Source organism: Homo sapiens, chromosome Y, assembly GCF_000001405.40.
Source record: "Homo sapiens chromosome Y, GRCh38.p14 Primary Assembly".
In the NCBI taxonomy this organism is placed as follows: domain Eukaryota; kingdom Metazoa; phylum Chordata; class Mammalia; order Primates; family Hominidae; genus Homo; species Homo sapiens.
The window spans coordinates 2,562,866-2,589,230 of NC_000024.10; the positions used below are offsets into that span (position 1 = coordinate 2,562,866).

General features: G+C 47.3%; 1 long non-coding RNA gene across 5 annotated transcripts in view, besides 4 other annotated features; it reads right to left on the reverse strand.

Moving 5' to 3' along the window:
- Positions 1-3,163: 3,163 nt before the first annotated feature.
- LINC03112 (long intergenic non-protein coding RNA 3112) overlaps positions 3,164-26,365 on the reverse strand; it is a 43,212-nt gene continuing 20,010 nt past the window's right edge. The window contains exons 2-4 of one of the 5 annotated variants that reach the window (XR_001756049.2): positions 11,231-11,424; positions 7,146-7,301; positions 3,164-4,427 (exon numbers count right to left, since the gene is read on the reverse strand). This is a non-coding gene — a long non-coding RNA (long intergenic non-protein coding RNA 3112). Of the gene's footprint in view, positions 4,428-7,145; positions 7,302-11,230; positions 11,769-26,365 lie in introns of those variants that run through there. The other 4 variants (XR_950583.3, XR_001756048.2, XR_001756050.2 and 1 more) reach the window with 4 other exon arrangements.
- Positions 20,210-20,710: an enhancer, noted in NCBI's record as "H3K4me1 hESC enhancer chrX:2501116-2501616 (GRCh37/hg19 assembly coordinates)". NCBI's record gives its function as "activates a minimal SCP1, AML or CMV promoter by ChIP-STARR-seq in naive H9 embryonic stem cells {active_cell/tissue: H9 hESC(naive)}" and the evidence as "EXISTENCE:reporter gene assay evidence [ECO:0000049][PMID:30033119]".
- Positions 20,711-21,211: an enhancer, noted in NCBI's record as "H3K4me1 hESC enhancer chrX:2501617-2502117 (GRCh37/hg19 assembly coordinates)". NCBI's record gives its function as "activates a minimal SCP1, AML or CMV promoter by ChIP-STARR-seq in primed H9 embryonic stem cells {active_cell/tissue: H9 hESC(primed)}" and the evidence as "EXISTENCE:reporter gene assay evidence [ECO:0000049][PMID:30033119]".
- Positions 20,711-21,402: a biological region, named in NCBI's record as "H3K4me1 hESC enhancers GRCh37_chrX:2501617-2502117 and GRCh37_chrY:2451809-2452308".
- Positions 20,903-21,402: an enhancer, noted in NCBI's record as "H3K4me1 hESC enhancer chrY:2451809-2452308 (GRCh37/hg19 assembly coordinates)". NCBI's record gives its function as "activates a minimal SCP1, AML or CMV promoter by ChIP-STARR-seq in primed H9 embryonic stem cells {active_cell/tissue: H9 hESC(primed)}" and the evidence as "EXISTENCE:reporter gene assay evidence [ECO:0000049][PMID:30033119]".

Below are 26,365 nucleotides of genomic sequence, written 5' to 3' on the forward strand. Positions count from 1 at the left end.
CTTTTTAATGAAAAGGAAATACCTTTGCCATTCAGAGTTTTAGAGAAAGTTCAAGGCCCTTTTCAAAAAAGAAAATAAACTTTTTAAAGAGGAGTGTCAATTCTTATCTTGTTAGCTAGTATTCAAGGATGAAGTTGCAGCTGTGGCTTAATTACAGAATCCTGCCCACTTAATTCAACACGATTCACACTTAAGTTCACACACATCTACTTTTTCTCATTTTGTTCTTTGGTGAATTTAAAATATTCAGAATAATGGTAACAGTAATGGCTGTGAGTATCCTGGGCTTATACTGTGCTAGAAAATTTTAAACAAATTCTGCATGTATTAATATATTTCTTTATTATTATTATTATTTTTAAGACAGAGTCTCAATCTGTTGCCCAGGCTGGAGTGCAATGGCACGACCTCGGCTCACTGAAACCTCTGCCTCCCGGGTTCAAGAGATTCTCCTGCCTCAGCCTCCCAAGTAGCTGGGATTACAGGCGTGTGCCACCATGCCTGGCTACATTTTTTGTTGTTGTCGTATTTTTAGTAGAGATGAGGTTTCACCATGTTGGCCACGCTGGTCTCAAACCCCTGATCTCAAGTGATCTGCCCGCCTCAGCCTCCGAAAGTTCTGGGATTACAAGTGTGAGCCACCGCGCCCGGTCCGTATTAACATATTTCTGTGTGATATGCATGTAGAAATACTGTGTTGTGGTAGGCATTATATTATCGTTATCATTGTTTTTCAAACTGGGGCACCTTAGGTAGGCAAAGGTTAAGGAATTGGCTCAGGTTGTGTTACAATTGTATGCCCAAACTGGGCTTTAAGCCAAAGCAACCTGATTCTAGATCCAGACTATGTTCTTTGTCCAGACCTTCGTACTGGGGGGACCCTGACTCCTTCCATTAAGAGGGGCTTCTCCCCTTCTTTTATACCTAAGGACAAGCAGTAGAGAGATCAAGTCTGTACACAATGTTGAATGTAGGGTACGCACCCATGAGTCTGCCTGTGTCTTATGACAATGCTCCGTCAACCCGTCGGGAAGCTCTGCCTTCCTCTAGTGCTCTCCCCACCAATGCTTGGGCCCCCATACTACCACCAAGCCCGCCACTTTTATTTCCTTTTTTTAAAATTTTGTCACCCAGGCTGCAGTGCAGTGTGTGTTGCAATCATAGTTCACTGCAGCCTTGACCTCCCAGGCTAAAGTAATCCTCCCACCTTGGCCTCCTGCGTTACTGGGACTACAGGTGCACACCACCATGCCTGGCTAATTTTTTTAATTTTTTTTTTTTTTTTTGAGATGCAGTCTCGCTCTGTTGCCCAGGTTGGAGTGCAGTGGCGTGATCTCAGCTCACTGCAACCTCCGCCTCCCCAGTTCAAGCGATTCTCCTGCCTCAGCCTCCTGAGTAGCTGGGATTACAGACGTCTGCCACCACACCTGGCAAATTTTTATATTTTTAGTAGAGATGGGGTTTCTCCATGTTGGCCAGGCTGGTCTTGAACTCCTGACCTCAGGCAATCCACCCGCCTAGGCCTCCCAAACTGCTGGGATGACAGGCATGAGCCACTGCGCTGGGCAATTTTTTAAATTTTTGGTAGAGATGGGGTTTCACTATGTTGCCCAGGCTGGTCTTGAATTCCTGGGCTCGAAGAATCCTCCCTCCATGGCCTCCCAAAGTGTTGGTATTATAGGCATGAGCCACTGCACCGAGTCTCAGCCATTTCTTGATGATCTTCCCACATTCTCTTAGATGAACAAAAATTATCTTATGCCATCTGTCACCCCAAGATTATAAAGGTCCCTTCCCAGAGGAATGTACCCTCCTCACAGCTCCCTCAAACACCCAGCCATCTTGTTAGCCATGTAGATATGAAAACTAACCCTTAGCCATGTGTCTGCCACATTTTCCTTCTTGGGGCTAATAATAAAATACGTGTATTAAGACATGAGTTGATGGGATGCGGTGGCTCACGCCTGTCATCCCAGCACTTCGGGAGGCCGAGGTGGGCAGATTACCTGAGGTCAGGAGTTCGAGACCAACCTGGCCAACATGCTGAAACCCCGTCTCTACTAAAAAAAAAAAAAATACAAAATTAGACAGGTATGGTGGCGTAAGCCTGTAATCCCAGCTACTCAGGAGGCTGAGGCAAGAGAATCACCTGAACCCAAGGAGGTGGAGGTTGCAGTGAGCCGAGATCGCGCCACTGCACTCCAGCCTGGGCGACAGAGCGAGACTCTGACTCAAAAAAAAAAAGAAAAAGAAAAACATGTTCTTTTTAAATCATAAATACAATTAAAATTGTACTTATGAAATATGCCTTTTCAAACTTTGTTTCTTAGCTTTTGACCCTGTTCTGGGGTCGGTGAGGTACTTGTGTGAATCTTACAGCAGTTTTTTCTGCCTAGTGGTCTGACTGGCACGTCGAGCGCCTGCCCAGTGAAAGCTGAGACCAGCGAGGGTGGAGTGCTGTGTTCCCCTGTGCAGAGGGTGAGGAGCCTTCCTGAGTTTTTCCGAGACACAGAGAACCCAGACCTCCTTTAGGAAAATGACTATAGAATAGCTCAATTGTTAAAATCATCATGCGAGCTTTGCCAGCCGCTTTTTGTTGTTGTTGTTTTAATAGAAAGCATCCCTTCCCACAGCTAAGGAGACCACGTGAGAGGCATCTCATTCTATAGAATGCACCGAGAGGCCGGGCGCGGTGGCTCACTCCTGTCATCCCAGCACTTTGGGAGGCCGAGGCAGGCAGATCAGCTGAGGTCAGGAGTTCGAGACCAGCCTGACCAACATGGTGAAACCCTATCTCTACTAAAAATACAAAAAATTAGCCAGGCGTGGTGGTGGGCACCTGTAATCCCAGCTACTTGGGAGGCTGAGGCAGGAGAATTGCTTGAACCCGGGAGGCGGAGGTTGTGGTGAGCGGAGATCGTGCCACTGTACTCCAGCCTGGACGACAGAGTGAGACTCCGTCTAACAATAATAATAATAGTAATAATAATAGTAATGCACCAACAGCAAACTGTGCCAACATCAGCCGATAAATTCGTTTCCACCCATGCTCCTCTGCAGGGCCAGTGAATACTCTGTCTGTTATCCAAGTGCTACCAAGCTAACGGTATACAGGCTAGGGTTCTGTTTTCACAATGACACAAAGAGGTGCACCTGAGCCATGTGGTTTCAAAAAATATTTTATTTTCTGGAATAGCCATAATATCTCAGCTCTGTCTTTATGCCCTCTCTCCACACGGAGGAGGCAGAAGCTATGACAACACTGAGGTGCCACACATCACACCTGCAAAACAGAATAATGGGAGCGTTTAGGAGACTGTAGAAAATGCTCACCAGGGTGCATACAGACAGGATGGGGGCTGGGCATTGCTGGGCTGCTGCTGTCTGTCAAGGACATTCAGAGAGATATACATGTCCCCGGGGCAGGGCCCGCCTCCATCTTCATCTCTTCTCTCTCATGTGTCAAATGAAGCAGAGGAAAAACAGCAGAGAGTCCTTCACGGCTGCTGGACTAGGCAATGCAACTCTCACAAGTGATGAGATTGAGAATGTGCCTTACACATCCCGTAGGTCTGGCGGTCACGAATGCGAGATTTGCTTCTAGAAATTTCTGGGACTCTTGTTTCATGTGCAAAGTGCCTAGTCTGTATCTGTAGGGCGATGCTGTTCTTCCAAGACATGATTTTTCCTTTTTACAACAGACAGGATAGGAATATTTGGGGTCACTTGGCAACAATGATGATGGGGAATCCTCTGTATCTCTTCCCTGGAGCATTTGCTCTGCACACAGAAGGAAGCCATTTGCACTGGATGGAGTCTGTATGAAGCTGGCAGCATGGATTGCATTGGAGAGTTAAGTAGGGCAAGCCCCCCAGTTGCACCTACTCTAACGATGGTATAATCTGAAGCTGATTTGTCCTGTGGACGTCTCTAGCCAGTAATAAGAGTAAACAGTTCCAATGGGCTTCCCTTGGGCATTGGAACCCCTGTGAATTCCGACTCTGCACAAGAGCAAGGTGGACGAAAACTTCACAACAGAATGGGCCAGGCAAGGGGGCAGAGATGGCTGGATGGGACCACAAGGATGGATGGAGGTTACAGATGCCAGCATGGCCCCAGAGGTGACACTGCCCATGAGTCCTGGTTACCCAGTGATGGCTTGGCAGGATGAGTGACGGGTGGGGAAGATGGCCTTTATCCTTATTGACAGTCATCTCACCCTTCACTCCTGCAGTGCAGCTGGGCTGACATGCTGGTGGACGTTCTTCAGAGAAGGGCCAAGCTGTGACCTTCAGAGATCCATCCCTCCACACTGGAGTCCTGGCCTACTGGTAGCTTATGAGGGGGATGCTCTTACAACTCCTTGGCTTGCACCTGGCATGCAGGCAAACTGAAGACTCCACAGCCACTCCATCACTTTAGGGGCCCTAAGCAGATGCAAAGAGAAGGAAAAAAAAGAGTAAGAAAAAAAAAATCAATGGTAATCTGATGAAGGGTTACCCCCCACCGCCGCCTCCTGCTCTCTTTAGAGACGGGGTCTGGCTCTGTTACCCAAGCTGGAGTGCAGAGGTGCAATCACAGCTGACTGTAATCTCAAACCCTTGCACTTTTTAATCTTTTTTAGAGATGGGGCCTGGCTCTGTTGCTTAGGCTGGAGCACACTGGCGCAACCATAGCTGACTGTCATCTTAAACGCCTGGGCTTAAGCAATTCTTTTATCTCAGTCTCCTGAGTGGTTAACGCTACAAGTGTGTGCCACCAAGCAGATAATTTTTAATTTTTTTTTTTTTTGTCTCATTAAGTTTCCCAGGCTGGTCTTGAACTCTTGCACTCAAGTAATCCTTCCACCTCAGCCTCCCGAAGTGCTGTGCTGACAGGCATGAGCCACGGCATCCAGCCAGTACATCTCTTTAATGCTACTGAGAAGTCATTTCACCCAGCACTTTGGTTCCTAGTATCATGTTCAAAAAAAAGAACCAGGGCTCTCTGGAATAATGGTTAATTCTAAGAACGGAGCTTGGGTGATACAGATAGGCCTGGACCATCTTGTAGTACAAGAAAATAAGAAAATGCTCAAATACACAAAAAAATGGGGGTGCGTGAAAGATAAGCAAAAGCCAACATGAAAGAGCTCCTGGTGCTCAAAGCTGAAACAATTTGGGCAATAAAATAAAATAATATTAGATGGCAACCCAAAGCAATCAATTATTGAATAAAAACATAAATGAAGGAGGAGATACAAATCCCCTGTGCAGAAGAGTCCCATCCAAGTAATTGATGTAGATATTTTATTCTCAAGAAGATGAAACATAACTCCCCACTCCTTTAAGTGTGGGTTGCATGTAGAGACTTCCTTTCAAAGAGCATGGTCAGGAGATCAATAACTTTTCAGTGGAGAAATCTGACAAACACCACCTCAGACGTGATCAAGGCCAAAGTCAACAATGGTAGGTCAGGCTGACAGTATGTACCTTGATATGATGTAATAAGAATGACTCTTCATCGCTGCCGTCATCCTCTCCAAAGCCAACCACCCTAGTCTCACCATGAGAAAAGTTGCAGACAAATCCCAACAGAGGGACAGCTTGACAAAATACCTGACCCGTTGTCCTCAAGACAGTGTTTCTCGTATAGTCTGCAGCACCGTGAGCCAAATAAACCTCTTTTCTTTATAAATCACTCAGCTCAGTTACTCCTCTATAGCAATACAAAATGGACTAATACACAAGCCACATCCAAGTGCCATTTGTGGCAAGGGGCCCTTGTATGGTCTGCAGGCCTTGCTTTGGATGACCTTGAAGTAAGGTCTTGTATTTGACTCTTGAACAGTCTGCAGAACTGTGAGCCAAATAAATATCTTTTTAATAAATAAACCCATACAAGAGTCATGTACAAGACCTTGCTTCGAGGTCATGAAAAACAAGGCAAGTCTCAGAAACTGTCACAGCCAAGAGGAGGCATGACTCAATGTAATGTGGGTTCTGGAGGAGATCCTGGGACAGAAAGAGGACATCAGGAGGAAAGTAGTGAAGTCCAGTAAACAGAAGAGTTTAGATTACAAAGGGTGCGGGGTTGGGGGGTGGGCAGGAGACCCTAACAAGTACCTGCATAACTAGCATTTTTCCTTTTTTTTTGAGATGGAGTCTCGCTCTGTCGCCCAGGCTGGAGTGCAGTAGCTCGACCTCAGCTCACTGCAAGCTCTGCCTCCCAGGTTCAAGCGATTCTCCTGCCTCAGCCTCCCGAGTAGCTGGGACTACAGGTGCCCGCCACCACGCCTGGCTAATTATTTGTATTTTTAGTAGAGACGGGGTTTCACCGTGTTAGCCAGGCTGGTCTCGATCTCCTGACCTCATGATCTGCCTGTCTCGGCCTCCCAAAGTGCTGGGATTACAGGCCTAAGCCACTGCGCCTGGCTGCATTTTTCCATTTATAGATTGCCTTTATTCTGCATATGGTAGAACCAAATGGAAGTCAAGACACAAGCATCTGGGGTGCTGGAGCCTGAGAAGACCTGTCTGGAGCTTGACAGAAATTCTGAATCCCCACCGACTCTCAGTCTACCCAGAAAGACAATGACCCAATAAAGAAACAGACTTTAGTCCTGTGTGAATTTGCTTGGGCTGTGTGTGGGGAGGCCCCTCCATCAGGGATAGTTCTGGCTAAATATCGCATGTGGAAAACTACCAGATGGTTGAGAGTGAAGATGAGAGAAGAGCCAGGGAGGGAAGAGATGCTTTCTTCAGGGCCAGGGGAGAGAAATTCCATAAGAAAAGCATAGGGTTAGCTGGAAGACAAAATGAGACTTGTGCTATCCAGATTGGGGGCACCAGCCACAAATGGCATTTGGATGTGGTGTCTTCGTCCATTTTGTATTGCTATAAAGGAATATCCCAGGCTGGGTGACTTATTAAAGAAAAGGGGTGTATTAGGCTTACCGTTCTGCAAACTCTATAAGAAGCAAGCATGGTGTTGGCATCTGCTCAGCTTCTGGTGAGGCCTCAGAAAGCTTTTACTCATGGAGGAAGGCAAGGGGAACCAGAGCGTCACATGGTGAAAGAGGGAGCAAGAGAGAGAGGAGGAGGAGCCAGGCTCTTTTTAACAATCAGCTCTTGCATGAACTAATACTGTGAGAACTCGCACATTACCATGAGGATGGCACCAAGTCATTCATGAGGAATCTGTTCCTGTGACGGAAACACCTCCCACCAGGCCTCATCTCCAACACGGGGGATGCTATTTCAACAGGAGATTTGGAAGGGACAAACACCCAAAGGATGTCAGTTCATTTGAATTGAGATGTGCTGTAAATGTACAATAGACACTGGATTTGAAGACTTGGTGTGAAAAAAGAATGCGCGCTATCTCACTCATAACTATATATACAATTCTAATATATTCTAAATAGCTATATATACTATTCTAAATCTATTCTAAATAACTACATATACTATCCTAAATAATTCTAAATAACTACATATACAACTCTAAATCTATTCTAAATAATTCTAAATAATGATATATACAACTCTAAATCTATTCTAAATAACTATATATACAATTCTAAATCTATTCTAAATAACTATATATATAAAATTATAAATATATTCTAAATAACTATATATAATTCTAAATAATTATACCTATATATACAATTCTAAATACATTCACACATATATTTTTAAAATATAAATTTGAAATAAATTGTGTATATGTATACAATTATTTTATATACTTATAAAATATATATATTCATTTATGACATTTATACATATATGTTTATATAGAAATATATCTTTTTTTTTTTTTGGACACTGAGTTTCACTCTTGTTGCCCAGGCTGGAGTGCAGTGGCGTGATCTCAGCTCACTGCAACCTCTGCCTCCTGGGTTCAAGCGATTCTCTTGCCTCAGCCTCCCAAGTAGCTGGGATTACAAGCATGCGCCACCACGCTCAGCTAATTGTATTTTTAGTAGAGATGGGGTTTCTCCATGTTGGTCAGGCTGGCCTCGAACTCCTGACCTCAGGTGATCTACCCACCTTGGCCTCCCAAAGTGCTGGGATTACAGGCATAAGTCACCATGCCTGGTCAGAAATATATCTTAATAAAATGTGTACATATTTTACATTTAAAAAATAAATAAAATATAAATTTATATATTTATATAAATATACATTTTGAAATGAGACTATTTTATATAGTGATAAAATAAATATCTTATATATAAATATATTGTAATAAAATTTGTACAAATTTAATAAACTGAAAAATATACATAAGCTATAAATTTGTTTATGTAAATATAAATATATACATGTTGAAATGAGACTATTTGATATAGTGATTAAATAAATATATGAAAATATATTTTAATAAAATTTGTATATATTTAATTTTAAAATATACATAAACTGTAAATTTATATATTTATGTAAATATAGAAATATACATACATGTTAAAATGACACTATTTAAATAGTGTCATTAAATACCATATTTATTATTAAATACCGTATTTGCATATATTTTTAATAAAATTTGTACAAATTTAATAAATTTAAAAACATACATGAAATATAAATTCATATATTTATGTAAATATAAATATATATACCCGTTAAAAGGAGACTGTTTCAATATAGTGATTACACATATTATTAAAATTGATTTCACCATTTTCATTTTACTCCTTTGTTAATGTGTTTAACAAAGAGTTTTCAATTGCTTTTGTGGATCATATTGTATTTCTTTTTTTTTTTTTTCAGACCGAGTCTCACTCTGTCACCCAGGCTGGAGTGCAATGGTGCCATCTTGGCTCACTGCAACCTCTGACTCCTGGGTTCAAGCAATTCTCCTGCCTCAGCCTCTTGAGTAGCTGGGATTACAGGCGCCCACCACCACGCCTGGCTGATTTTTGTATTTTAAGTAGAGTAGGGGGTTTCACCATGTTGGCCAGGCTGATCTCGAACTCCTGACCTCAAGTGATCCACCCACCTTGGCCTCCCAAAGTGCTGGGGTTACAGGCGTGAGACACCGTGCCCAGCCTATATTTTATTTCTGACGGGTAGAGTTCTTCCAGACCCTGAAAACCTGGGGCATCCAGGGAAAATACAGAAACAGGGCTCCGGGTACCTCAGTGGAGTACTAGGTGGGGCTGTAGCCACATAGCTGTGTTCCCCTGAGGCCCCCAAAAGCCCCATGATCTCCAGGGACACCGGGCTGGGCAGGCTGCTATTCCACCTCTCACCTCTTTGAACCCCAGTCCCTCCACCTTTCACAGTGGCATAAAGACTCTTCCCAATTAGGATGACCCAAACATCTGGGTCAAGGAAGATTCAGTGACCCAGGGACCTGTCCTTGCTCCAGGCAAATCAGTTGGAGCAACTTGGAAGTGACTAGATATTTATTCTGAGCACTTGGGACGAAGCTTGGGGGTATAGGGAATTCCTTGATACCTTCTCAAAGAATTCAAAGTCTACTGAAAAGGGCTTTCCTTCACTTGAGTATCTCAAATATTCATCTGGGAACGCTATCTACCACCTCCTGAATCGCTGCTATTGGTAAGATAATGGGTTGATCTCCACAAATTATAATGATGATCACACTTGCTAGCCCCAGGAACCAGCCGCATCCAATTCAGCTTTTGCAAGGAATCTAATTCCTGTCTGTCTCTTCCCCACCTGTAACTCTATAAATCTTATCTTTAAGAATGGGTGGGGGCTGGCCACGGTGGCTCACGTCTGTAATCCCAGCACTTTGGGAGGCCGAGGCGGATGGATCACTTGAGGTCAAGAGTTCGAGACCATCCTGGCCAACATGGTGAAACGCCGTCTCTACTAAAAATACAAAAATTAGCTGGGCGTGGTGGCATGCGCCTGTAGTCCCAGCTACTCAGCAGGCTGAGGCAGGAGAATTGCTTGAACCCGGGAGGCGGAGGTTGCAGTGAGCTGAGATCGCACCACTGCACTCCAGCCTGGCGACAGAGCTAGATTCCATCTCAAAACAAAGAACAAACAAACAAAAAGAATGGGTAGGTCTCCACCCATTACTGTGTCTTTCCATGAGACTGACGCCCAACAGGGCTGAGTCAGACGGCCAGGAAGCTGGGGTAATTTGAGAGGCACAGAGAGTACTCTTTCGGCTGGCCTTAGAGTTGGGGTTGCCACCTTCACAAAAGCATCCCTGGCTTGCTCTCACACACAGAGATTCTGGGAGGCCCCAGGAAAACCCCAAAATACTGCAAGAGGTGTAAACATACCCACTCATGCTGTCTTGTTTAATGCCAACATGGCTCCAGGGAGCAGGAAGAAGCGCCAGAGGGAACAACACGCAGGATGATGGGTTTGCTTTTGACCTGCACTAATTATGTTCTAGGTATGGCACCGCTTTCAGAGTCAGTTTCCAGATGTGCAATTTTAGTACACAAGAACATTTATCAGCCCCTTACTTTCTCTGTTTCTTCATGAATCCTTGAGGCAGAGGTCCAACATGGAGAATCATGGTGCTCAATGAGTGCTGGACCTTGGCCAGGTGACTTGGGCCTAAGGCAGCATGTCTGTCGAGTGATGATCATGTTACTTACCTGCCAAAGCTTATGTGTGGATAAGGTGTTGTCATAAGGTGGGTTCCCCAGACACAGAGACTGAGGTTGGGATTCAAAGACATAGAGCATTTGCAGAGGGAGGGAGGGAAGCCCGTTTAAAAAGGCACTAAGCCGGCCAGGGGTGGTGGTGGCTCACGCCTGTAATCCCAACACTTTGGGAGGCTGAGGCAGTTGGATCAGGAGGTCAAAAGATCAAGACCATCCTGGCCAACACGGTGAAACCTCATCTCTACTAAAAATACAAAAATTAGCCGTGCGTGGCAGTGTGCACCTGTAGTCCCAGCTACTCGGGAGGCTAAGGCAGGAGAATCGTTGAACCCGGGAGGCGGAGGTGGCAGTGAGCTGAGATCGCACCACTGCACTCCAGCCTGGTGACAGAGTGAGAATCTGTCTCCAAAAAAAAAAAAAAAAAAAGGCACTGAGGCATGATTTGATCTCAGGACATATCTCAACCTGGTCAACAGCAGGCTCTGGAATACAAATTGGGCTGCAGAATTTGCTGCCTTTGGGCATGGAAGTATGTGTGTGTGTGTGTGTGTGTGTGTGTGTGCGCGCGCGCGCGCGCGCGCGCACGCACGCGCACATATGTATGTGTGCATGCATGATCTCACGTGCTGTGGCTTCCTCTACCTGAAATGAATCTTCACCTTAGCGTTATCTGGATAACTGTATCTTGACCTTCAGGGCTACACCAAGCATCACGATGCCTTAAACATCTCCTCCCAAGCCCACCTGGGTTCTTCCTCCATGTTCCTGTAGCACAGAGACTCTGAGATCTGTCTGCCAGCTGTTTTACGGCATGTGGCCCGGACTTCTGTTATACCCTGGATCAAAATGTACCACAATTATCAAATAACCTTGCCATCTCCCCAGCTGGGAATTTACACTCAGAGCAGGAACCAGGTTTGTCCAGTATTATAACTGCTGGTACATAAGAGCCAGGAAAGGTTTGTTAAATGAGTGTTTCAGGCTAAATTGTGTCTCTTCGAAATGCCCATGTTGAAACCTTAGCCCTCATTTGTGACGGTGTTTGAAGATAAGGCCTTCAAAGAGGTCATTATGCGAAAATTATGTCATTAGGGTAGGGCCTGATCCAACAGGACTGGTGCCCTTATAAGAAGAGGAGACGAGGACACAGACACACACAGAGGGTTGACCCTGTGAGGACACAGGGAGAAGACGGTGTCTACAAGCCCAGGAGAGAGGCCTCAGGAGGAACCAGCCCTGCCCACACCTGGATCTCGGACTTCCAGCCTCCAGGACTGTGGGAGAATCAATGCCTGTTGCTTATAAGCCACCCAGTCTATGGTATTCTGTGATAGCAGCCTGAGATGGACTAAGACACTTCATAAGAAGAGGAGATGAGGACACAGACACACAGAGGGACGACCCTGTGTGTACACAGGGAGAAGATGGCGTCTACAAGCCCAGGAGAGAGGCCTCAGGAGGAACCAACCTTGCCCATACCCTGATCTCAGACTTCCAGCCTCCAGGCCTCCAGGAGAATCAATGTCCCTTGTTTAAGCTTCCAAGTTTGCGGTCCTTTGTTATGGCAGCCTTAGCAAACTAATACAATGAATGAATCAAACAGCACATGTATTACAATTCTAGTTGTGCTATCCAATAGAATAGCCACCAGCCACATGTGGCTGTTTACGTTTAAATCAATATAGCTCAATAAAAATAAATATTCAAGCCTTGAATGAAACCATACTCAACAGCCACTTGTGGTTGGTGCTTCCAACATTGCAGTTGCCTTCCTCCTCAAGAGTCGTGTTCTTGGTTGAATTCATCTCCCCTGCCCCTGAGGAAAGCACCCGTTGTCTCTCCGCACTTCTGAAGGTTTACTGCCCCACCATCTGTCCCCAGATGGAGAACCCTTGCAGGATGCAAGGGGATATTGAAATGATGTTTGCACTGGGCAGGATGGCTCAGGCCTGTAATCCCAGCACTTTGGAAGGCCTAGGCGAGATGATCACCTAAGGTCAGGAGTTTGAGACCAGCCTGGCCAACATGGCAAAACCCTGTCTCTATTAAAAATACAAAATTAAGCCAGGTGCAGTGGCACATGCCTGTAATCCTGGCTACTCGGGAGGCTGAGGCAGGAGAATCACTTGAACCCGGGAGGCAGAGGTTGCAGTGAGCCGAGATTGTGCCATTGCACTCCAGCCTGGGCAACAGAGTGAGACCCTGTCTCAAAAACAAAAACCAAAAAAAAGTTAAAAATTAAAAAAGAAAAAGAAATGATGTTTGCAGTGGTTAGGGTGGCTCACACGTGTAATCTCAGCACTTTGGGAGGCTGAAGCAGGAGGATCAGTTGAGCCCAGGAGTTTGAGAACAGCCTGGGCAACGCTGACAAAACCGCATGTCTACAAAAAAATACAAAAATCAGTCTGGTATGGTGCTACATGCCTGTAGTCCCAGCTCCTCAGGAGGCTGAGGTGAGAGAATCACCTGTAGTCCCAGCTACTCAAGAGGGTGAGGCAGGAGAACCGCTTGAACCAGATTCAGCTCACTGCAACCTCCACCTCCTGGGTTCAAGTGATTCTCCTGCCTCAGTCTCCTGAGTAGCTGGGATTACAGTTTCCTGCCACCACATCCAGCTAATTTTTGTTTTTTTTTTTTTTTTTTTTTTTTTTTTTAAGTAGAGACAGGGTTTCACCATGTTGGCCAGGCTGGCCTCGAACTCCTGAAACTCAAGTGATCCCGCCTGCCTCGGCCTCCCCAAAGTTTTTTTCTTAAGCATCTTTTTTAGATGCCTTTGTTCTCATATTTCTGTTTGCCTCTACTATTTTATTCGCTTAGATAGTTTTTTGTTTGTTTGTTTTGTCTTTTGTGGTCTTGACATTTTTGCTGACGGTAGGAAAGATCCAATTTCCATGTTATTGTAATTCCCATTAGACTTGTCCATTGGTGTCATGCTAAAAGATGAGATACTAAAGAAAATTGGCTGGGAGCAGTGGCTCATGCCTGTAATCCCAGCACTTTGGGAGGCCAAGGCAGGTGGATCACCTGAGGTCAGGATTTCGAGACCAGCCTGGCCAAAATAGTGAAACCCCATCTCTACTAAAAATAAAAAAAGTAGCTGGGTGTGGTGGTGGGTGCCTATAGTTCCAGCTACTCAGGAGGCTGAGGCAGGAGCATCGCTTGAACCCGGGAGGTAGAGGTTACAGTGAGCCGAGATCACGCCACATCCAGCCTGGGCAACAGAGCGAGACTCCGTCTCCAAAAAAAAAAAAAAAAAAAGAAAATCATATTTAATTCATTTAGCTTTCATCGTAATTACAGTCACACTTCACACACATGGGAATTAGGGAGCCAGGAAGAGTAATGCGGCAATGCCCTGTGTTCAGACCACTATTAATGGGTAGGCTTTGGGGATACTTTGCTTTTCTCTTTCACTAATGATGTCTGTCCATTTTCCCCGAGGATCTTTTCGGGAGCCTTCTGTGTGGTGGGCCCACTTACGACCTGAATCACCGCATTCACGCCAACAGTACCAACCCATAGGTATGCTTAGTCATCTGATGACTCAGAGACAGGGGGTAGGCGGATGGAATGGAAGGATGAGTCTGGTCAGATGGTAAGAGATAGTACAATGACATGAAAAATAGCCACCACTGACCACTGGCAACCTGGCCTTGAGATCCCTAGTGGACAGTTATTTATTTACTATTTATTTATTTTGAGACAGGGTCCACTCTGTCGCCCAGGCTGGAGTGCAGTGGCACAGTCTTGGCTCATTGCAACCTCTGCCTCCAGGGTTCAAGCGATTCTCCCGCCTCAGCCTCCCAAGTAGCTTGGATTACAGGTGTGCACTACCACACCTGGCTAATTTTTGTATTCTTGGTAGAGACGGGGTTTCGCCATGTTGGCCAGGCTGGTCTTGAACTCCTGACCTCAAGTGATCCTCCAGCCTGGGCCTCCCGAAGTGCTGGGATTGCAGGCGTGAGACACCGCGCCCGGGCATGGACAGCTTTTTGAGCGCATAATTACAGACAGTCTTCACCTTCCCCAGAGGAAAACATAACAGCCTATCCCAAGGTTTCGTAATAAAAGCGTAAAATTGTCATAAACCCACAGTAGGTGTTCAATAAATGCATACATCTTGTTCCCACACCCGAAAAATCCTAGTTAGGAGGTGACCGAGGAGAGTTTACAACACAAATTGCACCTGAGGTTTTGCACACGAGTGAGTTTGATCCCTTTCCTCCAGAAGGCCGGCTACTCATTCAAAGGGCCCAGTTTGTTTCAAACTATTTTTGGAACTGTTTCAGAATTGCCTCCAAGCGCCTGTCTAGACCTTACCTTACACTGGCGCTATTTTGAGCTAAAAGCCATATTGATTAAATTGGCTTCTAAAGTTATCCCCCAGACTTGGCGCTGAAGGAGGCTTAGGTATTTCCAAAAATCCTAGCCTCTGCCTGGAAGGCTCCCCAGCTAAGGATGCAAGACAAGGACCAAGGACGACATTTCTTGAAAGATCCTGCCTCTGGGGATAGTTTCGGAAAGGAAGTGCTCAGGTTTGTGAGACAGCAGCAGGGCCCTGGGACCTTTCTCTGATGGGGGAATATCCCCCTCTAGGTCAGCACGCCCCATCACAGCACTGCATCTACTGTAGGTACCTCCAAAGTCACCCTTTCTATTTCACTCATGTTTCCCTTGAATTTACACTTTACATGTTGCTAGACCAAATCGGCGGAGGGGAAAAAATAACTCATGGAAACATGATCTTTTTAGAAATGGCATTACTCAGAAAGCACAGCAGGGGTTTGGCTTATGGTACGGTGTTGTTTTCCTGCTTTGAGGCGCTGTTACAGATTCTTCTTCCCACTGTACAGCTTCCCGGCCTGACATGCTGCCTTGGGAAGTGCGTGAAAGTGAACGCAGCCTCCTCTTCCTCTTAGGAGTCCTCCGTTTCGTGTCTCTTACATCCTGAAAGGACCCAGCTCTCTGAGTCAGGCCGCGGCACTGCCCCTCCTAGCTCCAAATCCACATCTATTTCCCACTTCACTTTCTAAGTGGGATTTAGCTTAACACTGTGGAGCTTGGAGTATCACAGAGCTAATATGTAAGACCCAGGCTGGTCTTTCCTTCTCTGTCGGCACCTTGGAATTCTCTACTACCTTTCAGCCTGCCTCTCCGCTCCCCCGGCTTTTTTTTTACAGACATCTGCAATGCAGGCAAGTTCCAATATGAACATCTGTGGAACACAGCCTGAGAAGAGGAGATATAAAAGGATCTTAATTTTAGGGTGAAGGAGGAGAAGAATGGTTAAGAAGCGTCTCAATAACGTAAGCCACAACCTCAGGCTTTGAAAACAACATTAACTGAGAACAGCTTTGAAAACAACAGTGAGATTTTCAACTCAATTCTTTTTCCCACAGGTCACTTATCTTGAATTCCAAAATGTTGACTTCTGCTAAAGAATCTTTTTTTTTTTCAGTGATATAAATTTGGAAGGTATGTCAATATTCTTATCCAGTGTGAAGTCCTATGACCGAAACACTTGCGTATTCGTCTCTCCTCCCCGCTACACTTCCCTTGGGGAAGTACACACAACAAGGCAAACAAACACCTCTGACCACTTCTGAGGCAGCCTGTTCTTTTTTTTCTTTTTTGAGATGGCGTCTCACTCCGTCGCCCAGGCTGGGTGCAGTGGCGCGATCTCGGCTCACTGCAACCCCCACCTCCAGGGTTCAAGCGATTTTTCTGCCTCAGCTTCCTGAGTAGCTGGGATTACAGATGTGTGCCACCATGCCTGGCTGATTTTTGTATTTCAGTAGACACGGGGTTTCACCATGTTGGCCAGGCTGGTCTGGAACTCCTAACCTCAGGTGATCTGCTCGCCTCGGCCTCCCAAAGTGCTGGGATTATAGGTGTGAGCCACTGTGTCCGCTCCCTCTCCCTGCTTTTTTTTTTTCTTATAGAGTCTCACTATGTTGCCCAGGCTGGTATCAAACTGCTGGGCTCAATCGATCCTTCCACCTTGGCCTCCCAAAGTGCTGGGATTACAGTCGTGAGCCGCTGTGCTCACCCTGTCCTTAATGATCAGCTTGAGAAAATTCTCTCTCATCTAGTTGACCACGTCCCCCTCTCATCACTGCCACCAAATGTCCCTCATTATGGTGTCTAGATGTTTTGTCTTGCTACATCTCAAGCTTCATTACAGATCGAATTTACCCTCTTCCCTCAACTCTTCTTGCACAGAAGCTGAGGTTTCCAGGAGGCCCTCTCTACCCCTTGGGGGACCTTCCCCTTAAGTTTGGAAGCTGCCAAAACCATGTAAAGGAGATTTTAGGAGGGTCTTTGCACTATATGGGATCCCAAGAAAAATGCATTTAGGGCCACTTTTTCAGCAGCTTCGCTTTAAGGTTCATTTTTTTTTTTTTTAAGACTCATAAAAATCTTTACAGTTTGGAACACATAAAATATATTGACTGGACGCGGTGCCTCACACCTGTAATCCCAGCACTTTGGGAGCCCGAGGTGGGTGGATCACTTGAGGTCAGGAGTTCGAAACCAGCCTGGCCAACATGATGAAATGCCGTCTCTACTAAAAAGTCCAAAAATTAGCTGGGCATGGTGGCTCAGGCCTGTAGTCCAAGCTACTCGGGAGGCTGAGGCATGAGAATTGCTTGAGCCCAGAAGGTGGAGGTTGCAGAGAGTCAAGATTGCACCATTGCACTCTAGCCTGGATGACAGAGCCAGACTCTGTCTTTAAAAAAAAAATACATAAAAAGTTTTAAAAATGGAAACCTGTGTGAGCAGTGTCTAGAAACAGATAATTAGCAGTTATTCTGTAATCAATTTTTTAAAAACTTTAAAGAGAATGATTAATTTTAAACCCTAAAGGAGAGTTGCAAGTAGAAATATAATTTAAAACTTTTGTGTAATATCACTGCAATGGATGTGAGATTTTACACACACACACACACACACACACACACACACCCCATAAACACACATGTGTGCCACAGGTCCGTTGGTAAAAGCTTGGTTACTGATGATTGAGTTTTTTTCTTTTATTCTTGGGGAAGTTACATAACCTGTTTTTTTCCAGCCTTATTTTTCCATTCTGTGTAATTGGGATACTAATTATATTCATGTTGCTGTCAGGAGGGTAAAATACAATGTATATAATATTATTTTCACTCCAGATCTGGTGTTTAGTAAAACACTCAGCAACTATTAGGTGTAATTGTTATTTATAGGAAACTGTAGGTCTTTTGACAGTAATCATAACCACCCTTGCATGTGTGGGTTGTCCATAGAAAATTAAGATAATAGCGCAGAGGTTTCTGTCTCATCATGCTCTTCCCAGCTTCACTGAGATTGTCCTTTTTTCCAGTCAGGGCTTATCTTTCTAGGTTCCAGGAAAGCATCCTGAGGGATCATGCTGCTGTTTTAATACTCATATCTTCTTTAGGTGTGAAATACCCAAACGGGCCAGGAGCAGTGGCCCACACCTGTCATCCCAGCACTTTGGGAGGCTGAGGTTGGAGGATCACGAGGTTAGGAGTTTGAGACCAGCCTGGCCAACATGGGTGAAACCCCATCTCTACTAAAAATACAAAAATTAGCCAGGCATGGTGGCACGTGCCGGTAATCCCAGCTACTCAGGAGGCTGAGGCAGGAGAATCGCTTGAACCTGGGAGGCAGAGGTTGTAGTGAGCCGAGACTGCGCCACTGCCCTCCAGCCTGGGCGACGGAGCAAGACTCCATCTCAGAAAAAAAAAAAAAAAAAAAGAAAAGAAAAGAAAAGGAAAAAAGAAAGAAAAGAAATACCCAAATGGTCACCATGATCTAAGCACTCCCTTGGAGAACTGATGGATGTCAGTGTGCACTGATGGACATAAAACAGGACCACAGAGAAGAGTCACACTTGTAGAAAGAAATGCCCCCCAATCTCTAGCCAAAAGCTCCAAGTGGGAGTCTGTGTCACTTCCAGTGACAACTCTGCACTGACTCACTGCGTGACCTTGGGCAAGAAGCACTTCTACCTGCCTTGGTTTGTGGACCTGAAACAGGGATGTTAGCACCAACCTGGCATCTTCCCAGGACAGTGGCGCAGATCTGGAGGAACACCTCACGGGAAGGTCTTTTGTAGATCACACAGGAGGCTACACAGACATGAGTTACTGTGATTTCCTTTTGTCTAAAGGTTTCTTTCTGGTTCTAGCCTTGTCTATCTGGGGGAAGGAGACTATCTGTGATGGAGATGAGCGTTCTTTTCCAAGAGCGTTAATTAGCTGTTCACTTTGTGACTTCGTGAGCGCCCTACCATTTGAATTCTGAATCCCTGCGTTTTGTTCTCATTTGGTGATGAGCCTTTCAGCAGACATGGTAGTGACTATTAAGTAGGCATTTTAATGCAATCGTTCATAGAATCAATATGTAGACGGCTAGTTTCTAATTTATGAGAAGGCATTCTCTGGGAAATTGAATAAACAGTGCTCGATTGGAATATGGAAATTTTATATAAGAAAAATAATCCGAGAGAGGCTGAGAATGTACAAGCTCTAAGGAATCATCAGATGTGAACAGGACTTCAGCTATCATGTTTAGGGTGAGCTTCGTTAGTGGCTCACATCTAGTTTCAGCTGCAACTGTATTTTCATATCGTTCCCAGGCAAGCCCCGCGAGTGACTGACTCCACGACCCTGTTTCTTCCCAAACCCTCACCTGAGAAACAGGCTTCTTGGATTAAATCTTCCTTTTCCTATTCGACTAGCCCGGTGGGTTTGTGCTTGGCGTAACTTTGGGCCCCCTGGGTGGGATGTGCTTGCGTGAAGCTCCAGTAGCTTTTCCTCTGTGCCGGGAATAATTTGCAAAGCGTCCTATTTTGGATTTTCATAATCAAGCTTCTACCCCGTTTCTTTTCAGTTAATTTAATACCTGGAGCACACGCAGTACTTCAAAAATATTGGTCCGTTCTGGTGTCAGAGAGTCTTTTTGGACTGAGATGTAAAAGTCCTACATTTGGGTATGTGAGCTGGGAGTTGGGGGGCCAGGCTGAGGAGAAGCAACAAATTCCAGAGACAAACTTGGCATCTTGGGAGATGTAATACACGCACCCAGCCACAGAGTCCCAGGAGAATGTATTTTAATGGAGAATGTGGAGGGACTTTGCAAATGTTTTCATTTTCTCAAATCATATCTGTTATCCTGAAAGTGGTGTCTGTTCCCCCTAACGCCCCCCCGCTCCCTCCCCAACCCTTTGCAGACACTGGCATCTGTGGACATGAGTTAGGTGCTGCAGTACCACTCACTGTGTCAACTACAGTATTAACTACGGAAAACACACACACAGTCACAGTCACACTGACACTCACACCCTAACCATCCCAAATCAGACATTTGCAGTCCCACGGGATTTCCAAAGATTCCCCGGACAAGCAATCTATAGATTATCCTGGGACCAGAAAAAAAAAAGTCCTAGGATTTTTAGTTTCCTTAACCCTCAAGTGGCTGGAAACTGTTAATCAGAGAGGAATGAACATAAATAACACCAAGCCGAGCTCCGTCTGATCCGAAGTGAGCCCCCAAACAGCTTCTGTCTGCCCTGATTACCAAAGGAAGCCATGCCCACGCATAAATTGGCAGTCTATTTAAACTGGGTGTTCTTCCTCACAGTTTTTTTTTTTTCCCAGAGAAATATTCAAAGGCAGGCATTTTTCTGGCTAAGAAGATATTTATTTAAGTCACAGATTGCTTCACCTTCCCAAACTTGCCCGGCACACTTGGTGTAGGGCAAAGCCTCATCCTTGTCACATCTGTCCCTCTCCCCTCTGGAGCAGGGGCCAGAGGACTTTGGAGGACACCTACTCCCCCCACCCCCAAGGCTTCGGCTTCCCAGGGGGGGCTTGGCAGTGTGAGAAAGGCAAACCGCCTTCCGACCTGGTTGAAATTTTGTTTCCCATTGCTCCCTAGAGGTGTCCCTTGGCCGTGGATAACGCTCACTCTGTTCCTAGCCTCGCGCTCACCGTGTTTGTCCATGGAGGTTATAGGGAACTTGAGTGCGGGGTCCCCACCGCCGGAGCAGAGGGCTAGGGACCCGATAGCGCCTGGTGTGCCATAGCGCATTGGACCCACCCGAGAGCCCGCGTTCTGCTGCACCGGTGGCGGCCACAGGCGGGAGCGCCTATGCGCCTTGGACCCAAGGCGCCCAGGGGGTGGGTGGGACGGACCTGGAGGGGGTACAGGGGGGGCCTGCGCCCACCTCTCTGCACGCGCATCTGCCGCTTCCCGTGCCCCATAGGGGAGCCCCGGGCTCCGTGAATCCTCGGGTTCAGTCCCGCGTCCGGATTCCGCGTCCTCCCCGAAGTTGGGGCTCCCCAACCGTGGCCCCCCAAAGCGCCCGCACGAGCGCACTCACCCGCTCTCCCCGGTGCGTCCCTGAAGGTCAAGGCCAGGAGGCGGTGGAGGTGCAGGGCGGGCGGTGGGGCCCGGAGTAGGGGGCGCGGGCGCCGAGCTGGGGGGCACCGCGGGACGGCTCAGTCCCCATGGCCCTGGCGCTGGGGGCGCCCCCCGCCTGGCGACCCCGGGGGTCCGCGGCGCTCAGATGCCGTGGTCACAGTCCACATCGCGGCAGATGTACCAGAGGATCACGTAGAGGATGAGGAGGATGGCGAAGATGAAGAGGGCCACCAGGATCGCCTTGGTCACCGGCGAGATGAGAGACTGCATGGCCCCAGCGGGGCGCGCGGGAGGGCGGGGGGCGCGCGGGGGCGCGGGGCGCGGCGCTCACGACCCCCGAGCGCGCCCGGAGCCCCGCGCCGGCCCCGCGCCGCATCCGCAATGCTCCGTGCCCGGGACAGACGCTGCCTGGGTGGCTGCTCGGCGGCGGCGGTGGTGGCAGTGGTGGCTGCTCGGAGGCCGGCGCGCTCGGGTGCAGGCGGCTGCGCGCGGGGCTCCCACCGCCCGGGTCCCCCCAGCTGCTGGCGCTCACCGGGCCCGGCGGCCGCTGGGCTGGGCTGGGGGCACGGGGGGCCCTGGGGGCGGCCGGGAGGAGGGGGCGGCGGCCATGGGGGAGAGCTGGAGGAAGGCGGCGCGCCGGGCAAGTCCCCCGAAAACTTGGGGCGGAGGCGGCGCGGTGACAGGTGGAAACGCCAGCCCCGCGGGCAGCAGCGCGCAGCCGTCCACTGGCGGCGGGGGGCGCGGGGGCGCGGGAGGGAGGCGCGGGGGCGAGCGCGCGGGGAGGGGCTGCGGCACTGGGCGGGGGGCCTCCCTTTGCAGATGGGGAGGGTCGGGGGAGAGCAGGCGTCCCCGACTGCGCGCCTTTCCATCACCTCTCCCACCTCTCTGCTTTTCCCGGCCCCCTCTCTCCAGCGCAGCGGTGGATATCTCTCTCGTCCAGGTCTTGCATCTCACCCCTTCTTTGGGAGTCCCCTTCCTTTCCTCTTTTCCTCACTCTCACCCTGCACCCCGGTATGGGTGAGCTGCGATATTCTCATCAAAGAATGAAGGTGCTCATGGAGAGAAGCTGCCCCTTCTCTCTTTCTCTCTCTCTCTCTGTGTCTCTTGTACAGGGAAGGGGGTTTCAAGTTGCAACTAACTCATTGCTGATACCAAGCAGGATGGGCCCAGGCAGGAAAAAAGTACACACCCTTGCCCAGAGTCACAGCTTCTATAAGGGGAAGGGGGAGACTGGGTTCTGTGATGAAGGGGTGAGGCAGACGTCTTGGTGTGAGACTCAGTCCCGTGATAAAGGGGCGATGCACACAGACGCCTTAGTGTAAGGATCCAGGTTTCTGCCCTCGCATCACAGAAAGCCCTCCACCCCACGTTTGTCCCTTACTCTCTGGGGCTTAGCCCTGGGGAATGGAGAGACAGGCATGGTGGCACGTGGGTGCACACACATTTTTCCTGAAGTGTGAGCTGTGTTTAGGGCTGATGTCTGGTGGAGACACGAACAGGTCAGGGCACAGCACAGAAGGCCGAAGGAGCCCAAATTCTTGGGAAAGGAGGTAGTTCCTCCCTAGCTGGGCATCCTGAATACTCTCTTTAAGGGAGGGAGGGAGCTGGGGCTGTTGGACAGGGGCATAGGGCTTGCACCAGGAATCCATGACATGGTAAGAACAGGGACCACCCAGTTTCCCAGCAAATACACAATTCAGGCCTTTCATGCCCTGATTTTTGTCTCCGCTCCCTGTGGCCCCTAACACCGGTGAGCAGGAGCTGTTCCACGATGCCTGGTAGAAGTCTTCGCCTGCCTGCAGTGACACACTACTGAGGGAAAATTTTATACCTGCATGCAGTGACCCCAGCACCGATGCCCCATGGTTCTGGGAGACAGAAAGAGCTTCAGGGTTGGAGAGCCTTTGTCTGAGAGCCTGGCTCCCGAGGGTAAGGCATTCCTGACCTTCAGAAACAGGAACAAAGGAGAAGATAGGACCTGACCCAGGTAAAAATAGCCTCCCCTGCTATGGTCTAGGATGGATTTGCAGCTGAGGAAGGATGCCAGGAAAATGGACCATGATATCAGAGGGCTGTGTGGGTCGGGGAAAAAGGAATTCATCAAGCACTAAAGTGGCGATGCAATCTCTCCTCTGCACCCTTCTACCCGGTGTTTCCATTCCAGAGACAGCTCTTCCCCCAGGATGACACAGGTGGGAGGGAGGAGACCCTCTTCCTGCTGACGGCAAAGAGAAGAGCCCACCTCAGGGTCTCCCAGCAGATAGCCGGGTGGCTGGCGTGGCTTTCCCTTGAATCTGCAGTCTGTGAAAGGTTTTCGAGCAGAAGTGGGGAGCAAGGGAACAGTTTTGTAGATGGCATGACCCATGCCAGCAAGGCTTGCAGCCAGGCAGCTTCTTCTTGCCACTTTAGAGAGGAAATCAATTGTGTGTGTGTGCGCGCGCGCGTACCCGTGTGTGTGGGTGGGTGTGTGTGCACGTGCCCACACAGTGCATGAAAAGGTCCTCGCTCAGCGATAGTGTGTACATTTCCAGGGCAGCAGCTTCTAACTTTCAATTGAACCTGCGTTTCCAGCCTCTAGCTGTTCATCGGCTGAGAGAAGATGGATAATTGAATTTCTATACTTCCACTTCTCTGCACATGAAGAGTTGGTATTCCTCAGGGGAATTCCTCAGGGGAAGAAACACCAAAGTTTCAGACAGTTTGTAAACTTACTTTTGTCTGTACAATTTATCAGACACCCACAGTGAAGCCAAGAGCAAAAAGAACATCCAGATGGAAAGGTATAAGGCAGGTGTCAGAGCCAATACACCACGATTCCTTTCTCACAAATAGAATTTGATTTTTTTTTTTTTTTGAGACAGAGTCTCGCTCTGTCACCCAGTCTGGGGTGCAGTGGTGCGATCTCAGCTCACTGAAACCTCTGCCTCCCGGGTTCAAGTGATTCTCCTGCCTCACCCTCCTGAGTAGCTGGGATTACAGGCGCCCGCCACCATGTCTGGCTAATTTTTTGTATTTTTTAATAGAGATGGGTTTTCACCATGTTGATCAGGCTGGTCTCGAACTCCTGGCCTCAGGTGATCCACTCACCTTGGCTTCCCAAAGTGCTGGGATTACAGGCATGAGCCTCTGTGCCCGGCCTATAATGTGATTTTTAATGTAGGAAGACACAGAACAGAATAGACATCCCAGGAAAAAAAAAAAACATGGATTTACACCCAAGTGACTTTTGACAAAAGCAGCAGGGAAGTACACAGAGGAAAGAACCCTCTATTGAATAAATGGTGCTAGAAAAAATGGATACTGTACTCAGAAGAACACAACTAGCCCCCATCCCTCACCATATACAAAAACAAACTCCGCATGAATTAAAGACTGAAATATAAGACCCCAAACGATGAGATGACTAAAGCTAAAAGAAGAGGAAATGCTTCAGGACCTTGGTCTAGGCCACGATTTTGTGGGCAACAAATTGAAAGCACAGGTACCACAGCCAAAAATAGATAAATGGGTCTATATTAAACCAGAAAAGCTTCTGCTCAGCAAAGGAAACAATCAACCGAGTGGACAGACAAGCTGTAGAATAGGAGAAAATATTTACAAATATTTGGGGATAATAATGACTCATCTGAAAGGGGATGAATCTGGAAAATTACAAGGATCTCAAACAACTCAAGAGTAAACAACAGTAATCCAATTTAAAAATTACCAAAAGGGCAGGGTGCGGTGGCTCACACCTGCAATCCCAGCACTTTGGGAGGCTGAGGCAGGTGGCTCACCTGAGGTCAGGAGTTCCAGACCAGCCTGGCCAACATGGCAAAACCCTTAGCTGGGTGTGGTGGTGGGTGCCTGTAATCACAGCTACTTGAGAGGCTGAGGCAGGAGAATCACTTGAGCCCGGGAGGCGGAGGTTGCAGTGAGCCGAGATGGTGCCAGGCCTGGGCGATAGAGTGAGACTCTGTCTCAAAAAAAAAAATCAAAGGATCTGAATACAAATCTCCCCCAGAAAAGGCAGATTCATGGCCAACTCACCCTAGTTAGAATCACTATTATCAAAGAGACAAAAAGTGAAAAACGCTGGTGAGGATTGGGACAAACGGAAACTCATGTACTGTTGGTGGGAATGTAAATGAATACAGCCAGGATGGAAAACTGTATGGCACTTTCTCAAAAAACTCAAACTAGAACTGCCATATGATTCCGTAATCTTACTACTGTATACATTTTTAAAAGAAAGTCTGTCTATGCAAGAGATATCTGCACCCCCAAGTTTATTGCAACACTCTTCATAATAGCTAAGATGTTCATTAACACATGACTAGACAAAGAAAATGTGGTATCTATCCATCATGGAATACTATTCAGCCATAAAAAATGAAATCTGCCATTTGCGACAACGCAGATGAACTTGGAAGACAATATCTTCAGTGAAGAAAGTCAGGCATGGAAAGATAAATACCCCATGTTTTCACTCGTAAGTGGGAGGTACAAAAAAGTTAAGCTCATAGAAGTAGAGAGTAGAATTATCATTATTAGAAGCTAGTGGCTGAGTGCAGTGGCTCATGCCGGTAATCCCAGCACTTTGGGAGGCCGAGGCAGGTGAATTGTTTGAGGTCAGGAGTTCGAGACCAGCCTGACCAACATGGTGAATCCAAGAGGTGGAGGTTGCAGTGAGCCAAGATTGCGCCACTGCACTCCAGCCTGGGCAACAGAGCGAGAGTCTGTCTCAAAAATAAAAATAAAAATAAAATGCTGTTTCTGCCACTTAATCCTTCAGTCATGTACATATCCTTCATTTTCCTCATCCCTGAGTGACTTCTTGAACTAAATATGGTGGGAAGGCAATGTTTCAGGGCAGCCACTCTCCCTAGAGTGAATTATTTTAGAATCAGAGAAGTGGTTGCTTCCTAAATCACAATGTGTGAACTACTAAACGCTCTCTCCATATGTGGCTTGTGGTTGTTTGGTCCTGAGATACAGAGCTTCTAACGTGGACGGTAATCTATTGATTTACTATCAGTGATTAGGACTTCTCCTTTTTCATCTGTGTATATGGGTTTTTTGTTTGCTTGTTTTTGTTTTTGTTTTTGTTTTTGAGACAGAGTCTCACTCTGTCGCCCAGGCTGGAGTGCAGTGGTACGATCTCAACTCACTGCAACCTCCACCTCCTGGGTTCAAGCAATTCTCCTGCCTCAGCCTCCCAAGTAGCGGGGACTACAGGCATGCGCCACCACACCCGACTAATTTTTGTATTTTCAGTAGAGATGAAGTTTCTCCATGCTGGCCAGGCTGGTCTCGAACTCTTGACCTCAAGTCATCTGCCTGCCTCGGCATCCCAAAGTGCTCACA